Source organism: Homo sapiens, chromosome 9, assembly GCF_000001405.40.
Source record: "Homo sapiens chromosome 9, GRCh38.p14 Primary Assembly".
Taxonomy (NCBI): domain Eukaryota; kingdom Metazoa; phylum Chordata; class Mammalia; order Primates; family Hominidae; genus Homo; species Homo sapiens.
The window spans coordinates 67,666,318-67,675,279 of record NC_000009.12 but is presented as its reverse complement, the minus strand read 5'-3'; the positions used below and the strand labels follow the sequence as shown (position 1 = coordinate 67,675,279).

The following is an 8,962-nucleotide window of genomic DNA, read 5'->3' as shown; positions in this document are numbered from 1 at the left end:
TCACATAGATTACACTAAATAATGTGCATAGAGTCCTTTGCATACTATCTGGCCCAATAAATATTATTATAGTTATTCCGTGATCTGATGTAATCAGTTTTTTATTTTGAGACAGAATCTCATTTTGTAGCCCAGACTGGTGCACAGTGGCATGATCTCGGGTCACTGCAACCTCCGCCTCCTGGGTTCAAGCAATTCTCCTGTCTCAGCCTCCCAAGTAGCTGGGATTACAGGAGTGTGCCACTGTGTCCAGCTAATTTTTGTATTTTTTAGTAGAGATGGGGTTTTACCATGTTGGCCAGACTGGTCTCGAACTCCTGGCCTCAAGTGATCCACCTGCCTCAGCCCCACACAGTGCTGGGATTACAGGCATGAGCCATGGCACCTGGCCTGATATAATCTTCTTAATTTGAAATATCTGGTGTGAGAAGGTGAATTGGAAAGGATGACAGCAAAACTTCTATAACACAAAGGCCCCCAAACACAGTAGCATATAGAAAACAGAAGTTTATTTCTCACTTAGTCTGGGAGGAAGTTGTTCCAGATAGCAGGCAGCTCTGTTCCTCCTAGTCAGTCAGGGACGTGTGTTCCTTTCATACCTTTGCTTTGTCTTCTCTTAGGGATGTCTTTTCAGTTGCCTGGTCAAACCTGTCTCAGGCACATCTGCCCAGCTCATGAAAGAGAGAACACAAAGGAGAATTTACCCAATCCGTCAGGCTTTGAGGACATGCTCACCTCACATTCCCCTGTGTCTACACCTGGCAATAAGAGCAGCTGGGAAATGGAGTGTCCAGCTGGGTGTCCCTCCACCCTCGTGCAGCAAGGAAAGAAGAGATTTTAGTGGACAATGGGCAGTCTTAATCCAGGGCTCAAACCCACACCTGAGCTGTCCTCTTCCTCTTCTCTTCCCAAAGGAAGGGAAATAAAGTCTACAGCCCAGAAAACAATGTGACCACCCATCCCCTACCCAATCAGGTCCCTGCCATTTATCCCAAGATCAGCTGTCTTTCTTGGGAAAGTGGCTTGGAAGCCTCTCTCCAGAAAGACCACCCTTCTGTCCATCTTCTTCACATGGGTGGATTTGAGAAAAGTTTCTGTCCCCACTGCCTGCCTGCCACTCCCTGTCTCAGTTTCAGCTCACGCTCTAGCCCTTCGTTCCCAGTCACCAAGAATGACTACAAATGCGGGGGAACAGGAGGACTTGAAACAGTCATGGAAATTGAGACTGGGGCACAGAAGCCATGCTCAGAGGCAGCGTAGGTGAGGGTTCTGATGCCAGGAAATCCAGCTACTACTGTGTAACCTAAAGCGGGGATTAAGCTCTCAGAACTTCAATGAACTCTTTTGGAAATAGGGATAAGAAACCCACTTGTCAGGGCTGTTGTGAACATCAAATGTGATCATGTATGTACCTAGTACATAGTATGCCTTCAATAAATGGTAAGGCAAACCCAAGGCAAATTGAATTCATGTCCATTACTCTGACCCAGCCTTTGCATAAATTGTTTTTTCTTCTCCTTCCTTGTCAATGCATGGCTCCCTCCCTCTTCTTTACTTCCTATCCTCATTCCCCTACCATCTGAACCCTGATGTGGAATCTCTTTTCTCAGGAAATCTTCCATGATTGAAACATTCCTGCTTGGCCACTTCCCACTCCAATACTCTATCTTCGCCCATCTTCCATCTACCCCATGGTCCTGGCCCAAGTTTACACGTGTCCCATTTCTCCCTTCAAAAAGCATGCAGCAATGGAAGGGCTTTAAGTTTGCCATCAAGCAGATCAGAGTTCACATGCCAACTCTGCCAAGTTCTAGCTTTAGGACTTTGTCAGATCACTTCCCCTCTTTGAATCTCTGTCTTCCCAACCCTCTGGTGAGGTCAAGTGTGTGTGGGCTGGTACATAAAGGATATTTAATCTCCTCTGCTCTACCCAACCTCCCCCAACTCACACTCCCAGGACTAACTCTCTACTAAAGGGAGTTATCAGACCAAGAAAGTAATTCTCCCATTACCAGCCCCACCCCAACCCTGCTGAGGGAAAAAGAAGTGACTTCGAGTCTATGGGTCTTGGAGGGACCACCAACCCAAGAGCTAGAGCAGAGGAAGGACTTGGATATCCCAGATTCCAGGGTTATAGGATCTCTCCCCAAGCCCTCATATGCAGCCCCAGTTGCAGGACTAGCTTCAGGGATAGGAGTGAAAGAGTTGATCTGATTCCAGTCTTAGCCTGTAAGTAGTAGCTCACCTGTGCCTCTATTTTCAACCTTCCTAGATCAGAAGAGCAACAATATCAGTGACAACTAATGCTTACATAGTGTTTCCTATGGGATGGGCATTGTTCCAGGCTCTTCGTACATATAACTCATTTAATCCTGACAGCAGCCTTTGAGCTAGGTACTATTAACCCCATTTTACAGACAAGGAAACTAAAGCACAAGGGGTTAAGTAACTTGCCTAGGTCATACAACTCACATAAGGCATGACTGAGATTCAAAACCAGGCCGTCTAGCTCCAGAATCCATCCTGTTAACCACTCTGCCATAAAAAGAGCTAACATTTACTGGCAGGTTCTATGTGTCAAGCACTGTGGAAAACACATGGCATGTATTTCCTCTAATTCCAAATAACCCCCTGAGATAAGTTCTATTATTGGTATCCCTGTTTTACAGGTCAAGAAACTAAGGCAGAGAGAAAAGTTAAGCAACTTGCCCTGAGTCACACAGCTAGATATTAATAGTTTCAGAACTCCTAGCTGTTTTGCCTCAAATCCCACCTCCCCACCCCTGCTCAAAGCCCCTCCCCTTCTAGGTGGGTTGTTTTAGTTCCTATCACCAGTTCTTCACAAATCGGCTTTACCCCCCACAGCCTACAACCCTTGTTCTCCAAAACTCCTGTTGACCTCCGTCCCTTTCCCTTCCCACTTTCTCCCTAGACCCTCTGCTCCCCACAAAGTCCCCCAAACCATTCTGTCCCTCTCCCTCTGCTCCCCACCCACCCTCCCCCACAACTCCTGCTAAAACAGATGAATTTCACCAAAAAAGACCATCAGACCTTCCCCAAGCAGGCCCCCACTGTGCCTGATTGCACACCCCCAGGGGAGGCACCACAGTGGCTAAGCTGGAGAGCCAGAAATAAAATCCTCATTCTACTTCCCTGCCCCTTCTTCCCATCACTCATCTGGGAATCCAGGGCGAAGAAGGGAGCTAAAGTGCAGAGCATTCATTTAATATTAACAAATTGAAATGAATTCTTTTAATGCCAATTAACTTGGAGCGGCCCCTTATTAATAGTAATTTAGATTCATACTTGGGAGAAGCAGGGATGAGGGCTGGGCCAAATGTGCCCAGAATGTCAATGTGACTGGGGAACTGAAAGGGGAGGGGTGGCAGTTTTACTTCTGCCCAGTTGGGTTCTGTTTCCCTGAGAGAAATGGACAGTCACTGGAGGCGGATCTTTGGGAAACATAAATTACTCTTGTAAGTTTATTTTTGTTACTTCAAGGAATCTGAATAGTTTGACGCCATGTCACACCATTTTAAGAGTTTATTTTCACAGTAATGCTAAAAAGAAGAATTTCCTCAGAGCTGGGATTTACTTCAAACTCTCTCCTAAGCCAAACCTTACTGACCAAAGGGACAAGTCCCCAGGCCAGCTCTCTACCCTTCTTTGTTCAGAGCTAGAGCCAGAGATCAATATGGGCTTCCCCAGTCCCTGCCCCTTCTACCTTACCCAAAACTAAAAGGAAGAATCAACACTGTGTGTCTCTCTGAGAAGTCTCCCTCAGGAGATAAAAGACCCAAAGGGCTGACCCCTAAGCTAACAGCTTACATTTAAGGAAGAAAAACAATCTGCCTGCACTTTTCTTAGAATTTAGGGAAAAAATGAGAATTTAAAATTCAATTTCATGTATCAGAGTTCTCCAGAATACAGCCAAGTGGAAAGAACTTAGTCCCAAATGAAAAAGTTGAGCAGAAATTCTTCTCTCACTCGTTTTGCCGGCTTGGAGGTCAGACTGGAGGTGTCCTGAACTAGAACCAGAGCATAGGTTCTGACCCAAGAAGGACACTGTCTACTTCCCAGGCATCCCTCCTTGGCTGGGAGGAGAGGGGAGGATGAGTCCATTGGAAGCTGAGAATTGTGGAAGCTGGGGATGGGAGTTTTGAGATGGAGGAGGCAGGCGTGTGAAGGAGGTCAGGGAAAGGCAAGTAAATCTACTAATCATTGCAGTTTATAAAATAAAAACCTTAAAAATGGTTTAACATGCAAAAGGTTAAATTTTAAAAAGAGGCCAGGTTTTAAAGAAGGTAAAATACCTCAAATTTAGACATAATAAAAATGAGGAAAATACTCAAAACATTTCAAGCAAATTGTTCTTCAGAAGAGGAGAGGTTGGAATTAATCAAGAGACCTTTGTTACACACACATCCCCCAAGAGTTTCCCAAACAATAAATTCATTTACAAAACAAAATAGGAATCAACACAAAACCTCATCCACATACAGAGAAAAATAAATTGTGGTGATTCTGTAACAGCTGAAAAACTAGTGAGGGAGGAGAAAAATGAATAAACTCTAAATCCATTAGGTGATATTTATAAATAGCAAAATTGGAGGATGGAATGGAGAAAAGAGTTGAACTTATCATTAAAGAAGTAACACATGTGAAAACATAAGGTGTAACTCATCCCCAAAGAAAAGTAAACTCTCCATAAAGTAGCAAGTATAGAAATTTATTGAAAAGGAGGAAAGTACCACTCACCCCCCCAATATAAGCGTATTAATTTGAATTAAAATTTTCTCCAAATCCGAGATAGGTTACGCAAAAGAATACAAAAAGATTATTTTTCTTTCAACTAAGAGGAAAAACAAAATCCGATTTAAATTCACTAATGGGACAAGAAGGGAGGCTGTGGTTTGCAGGTGCTAGTAAACGGGATGAGGGTTGTGAAGAGTTTGAGGGGTAGAGGACCAGCTTACCTCGCTTTGGAGCCGCAGCGGCCAACAGGAGTGGGCAAAAGACCCTGCCAGTGCCTGAGTGATAGGGGAAATAAGGAATAGGGGATTCGGGTGCCCCTAGACGAATGAGGAGGATGGAAAGACTGGGGGTGCCCATCTCCCCTCCTCTGCCCGCCTCCCTCCCTCCGGTACCCAGGCCTAGAGAGCTACTGAAAGTTACAAATTGCTTCCATTATTAGCTCATCCCGGGCGGCCTGGTCATTGGCCAGCCCCTGGCCACGTGTTCCCTCGTACCAATCGATCGAATTTCTAGTCGCAATTCTCTGTCTGTCCCTCAGCTCTGGGGAGAAAGTGGGGGCTGTGGCGTGGGGGCTGAGGTCCAGTTTGGGGCGGGGTGGGAGAGGAGTCCTTGAGTATCCTGTCCCAGGGCCAAACCCCCAGGAGTCCAATCTTCAAGACATCCTTGAGCCGACTTCCGCCGATGGAGGGGGATCTTCAGGGTGCCTGCTGGGTTCTCAGGACTCCTCTTCAGATCCTAGTTTTGACCCCTCCGGGTTAGAAAAGATGGGCTCAGCACATCTGGTGAGGCAGGCAGGTCGTCGCTGCAGCACAGAATGATCCCATGGCCCTCAAGGCGTGGTGTCAGCTGAAAGTTCACTGATCTGTGAGCCCTCTGCCTCCCTCCTCCGTTGAAAGAGCAGTGGCGTGCCCCACTTCTAAAAGCCCTGGGGCTCCTGCAAGCGGACACCGCTTTCCAGGACAGGTGCAAACAGGGATGGTGCGAAGCCGAGGTGGAGACAATGCGATCACGCGTGGCACTGGCGTATCCCACAGCAGATGGTGTGAATGTGTGTCACCGGAGGCATATGGGGTGATGGCAAAACCAACAATGGTGTCCAGGCTGGAGTGCAATGGCGCAATCTCGGCTCACCACAACCTCCGCCTCCTGGGTTCAATTGATTCTCCTGCCTCAGCCTCCTGAGTAGCTGGCATTATAGGCATGTGCCACTGCATCCAGCTAATTTTGTATTTTTAGTAGACAAGGAGTTTTACCATGTTGGTTAGGGTGGTCTCAAACTCCCAACTGCAGATAATCCATCTGCCTCAGCCTCCCAAAGTGCTGGGATTACAGGCATGAACCACCGCACCCGGCCAAATTGCTGCAATCTTAATGGAAATAAATGGAATTAGATGGAAAAAAGTTCAGTCTGGGGCTCAGGATCGGCTCTCCCTTTACTACGACATTCACGTGCAGCGCACCAAGGAATCAGAGAATTCTACACTCGACTTTGACCTTGTGGGTTATTATGGCAATATATTTATCATAATATACTGTGAATATTTATCAAAGTAGGAGAATAGAACATATTTAACTATTTGTTAGCTTCATTTATAACTCATAATTATTTAGACGTAATGCAAATGTGGGCTGGAATTCATGTTCTGATTTTTTGTGGCCTTGAGCTAAGGAAAAGGGACCCAGGGAAATGGGCTTTATATGCTTGGATGGCTTCATGGAATCCCCAACTTCCTTAGCTTCTGTGACAACTCAAGATTGTTACTAAAATCCACTTTGTATTATCTTTAAAAACCAAGGGATATCATTTCTGCTTATATAATATATATTATAATACATATTATATTATGATAAAATATATAATATAATATAATTAATATAATAATATACAATATATAATATTATATAATATAATTAATATAATAATATACAATATATAATATTATATATTATTATATAATGTTATATAATATATAATTTATATTATATAATAATACATATATAACATATATAAAATACTATATTATTGTTGCTTGTTATGAATGAGGAAAGAAAGTGGTTTCTTGCGATGGAATCTACTCCTGGTGAAAATGCTGTGAACATTGTGGAAAGAACAACAAAGGACTTAGAATATCCCATAAACTTAGTTGATAAAAGAGTGGCAGGGTTTGAGAGAATTGGTTCCAATTTTGATATAAATTCTACTGTAGGTAGAATGCTACCAAACTGCATAGCATGCTACAGTGAAATCTTTTGTGAAAGGAAGAGTCAGTCAATGAAGTAAACTTCATTGTCATCTTATTTTAAGAAATTGCCACTCCCTCTCCAGCCCTCAGCAACCACCACCTTGATCAGTCACTAGCTATCAACATTGAGACAAGACCATCCAGCAGCAAAATGATGATGACTTACTGAAGGCCCAGATGATGGTTAGCAGTTTTTGGCAATCACGTATTTTCAAAGTAAGGTATATACATTATATTTTAGACATAATGCTATTGCACACTTAATTGACTACAGTAACTTAAACATAACTTTTTTTTTTGAGATGGAGTCTGGCTCTGTTGCCCAGGTTGGAGTGCAGTGGTGCAATCTTGGCTCATTGCAAACTCTGCCTCCCAGGTTCAAACAATTCTCCTGCCTCAGCCTCCTGAGTAGCTGGGACTACAGGTGCGCACCACCATTTTTGTATTTCCGGTAGACACAGGGTTTCGCCATGTTGGCCAGGCTGGTCTTGAACTTCTGACCTCAGGTGATGCACCCACCTCGGCCTCCCAGTGTGCTGGGATTACAGGCGTGAGCCACCATGCCTGGCAACATAACATTTATATGCACCAGAAAGCAAAAAATATCGTGTGACTTGCAAAAAATTTCGTGTGACTTGCGCTGTTGTGACATTCACCTTATTGTGTTACCTAGAACCAAACCTGCAATATCTCCAAGGTGTGCCTGTATCCCTAGAAGCAGAGCTGGAGTAAGGACTTCGGTGTGGGTGGTTTATTTGGAAAGTGATTCCAAGAAGCAAGAGTCAGAAGTGGGAAGAGTGAGCCAGGCAAGAAAGAAAAGCCAAAATAATGGCATGCTATTGAGGCTCCTGCCATGCAGTTTTTTCTGCAGGACCTTCCGAGAGGCTCCGGAAAGTTATCCAGAAATGCCCACCTGAAACATGAGCCTGGAGCATTTGTCCACCTGTCCCACACTGGTTGAGGTCTTCCCCTGAGGCTGTTAACCTGCAAGTGTTTCTGGGCTGTATTTGTGCTCAGGCAAAATCGTACAATAATGGAGATTCCCTAGGGCAGAAAGTGTACCTTGAGTTTGCTGGCAGCACAAGAGAAGCCTGTGCTTCCATGGAACTTCTCACGGTGTCTGAGACTGAATGAAAGGTGAGCTGAGAAAACATGACGCAGGCGCCATTGCACTAAGCAATCATAGCCATCGATCTGGGCAAGAGGACCCCTGCCCTGAATCCTGCACTTGAGAAGGTGCCTCTCTGGCCCTCCACTGACTGTACCCTGGCCCACTCAGAGCTTCACCCTCTCTTCTAGGGCACATGCTGGGCACTCAGGGACCTGGCAAAATGTGCCTGAGCCTGCATGGCCTCTTCCCTGGGTCCATTTCAAAGTGCAAACTGTGCTTGTCCAAATGGTGCCCAAGGATCTGCTTTCTGAAGGGGTGAGAATTGTGGATGGAGCTTGCATGGGGCCTAGGGAGTTCCCCACACAAGGGTATGCAAAGCTTCTCAAGTGAGGACAGGGCTACCTACGATGAAAGAAAAAAGTTTAGCCTGGGGCTGATGATCAGCTCTCCCTTTACTACCACATTCCTGTGCAGAGCACCAAGAAATCAGAGAATTCTACACTCAACTTTGACCTTGTGGGTTATTATGGCAGTATATTTATCGAAATAGGAGAATAGAACATATTTAACTATTTGTTAGCTTCATTTATAACTCATAATTATTTAGACATAATGCAAATGTGGGCTGGAATTTACGTTCTGATTTTTTGTGGCCTTGAGCTAAGGAAAAGGGACCCAAGGAAATGGGCTTTATATGCTTGGATGGCTTTGTGGAATCCCCAACTTCATTAGCTTCTGTGGTGACTCAAGATTGTTACTAAAATCCACTTTGTATTATCTTTAAAAACCAAGGAATATTATGTAGATCAGTAGTTAGAAGGTACTTGACTCAAAATATGTATGAACCAAAGGA

General features: G+C 44.6%; 1 long non-coding RNA gene across 1 annotated transcript; it reads right to left on the bottom strand.

Annotated features, from left to right (window-relative positions):
- Positions 1–490: 490 nt before the first annotated feature.
- On the bottom strand, positions 491–5,016 carry LOC105379453 (uncharacterized). Its single transcript, XR_950695.1, has 2 exons — positions 4,977–5,016; positions 491–671 (listed from the first exon to the last, which is right to left on the bottom strand). It is a non-coding gene; the product is annotated as an uncharacterized LOC105379453 (long non-coding RNA).
- Between the last annotated feature and the right edge of the window lie 3,946 nt (positions 5,017–8,962).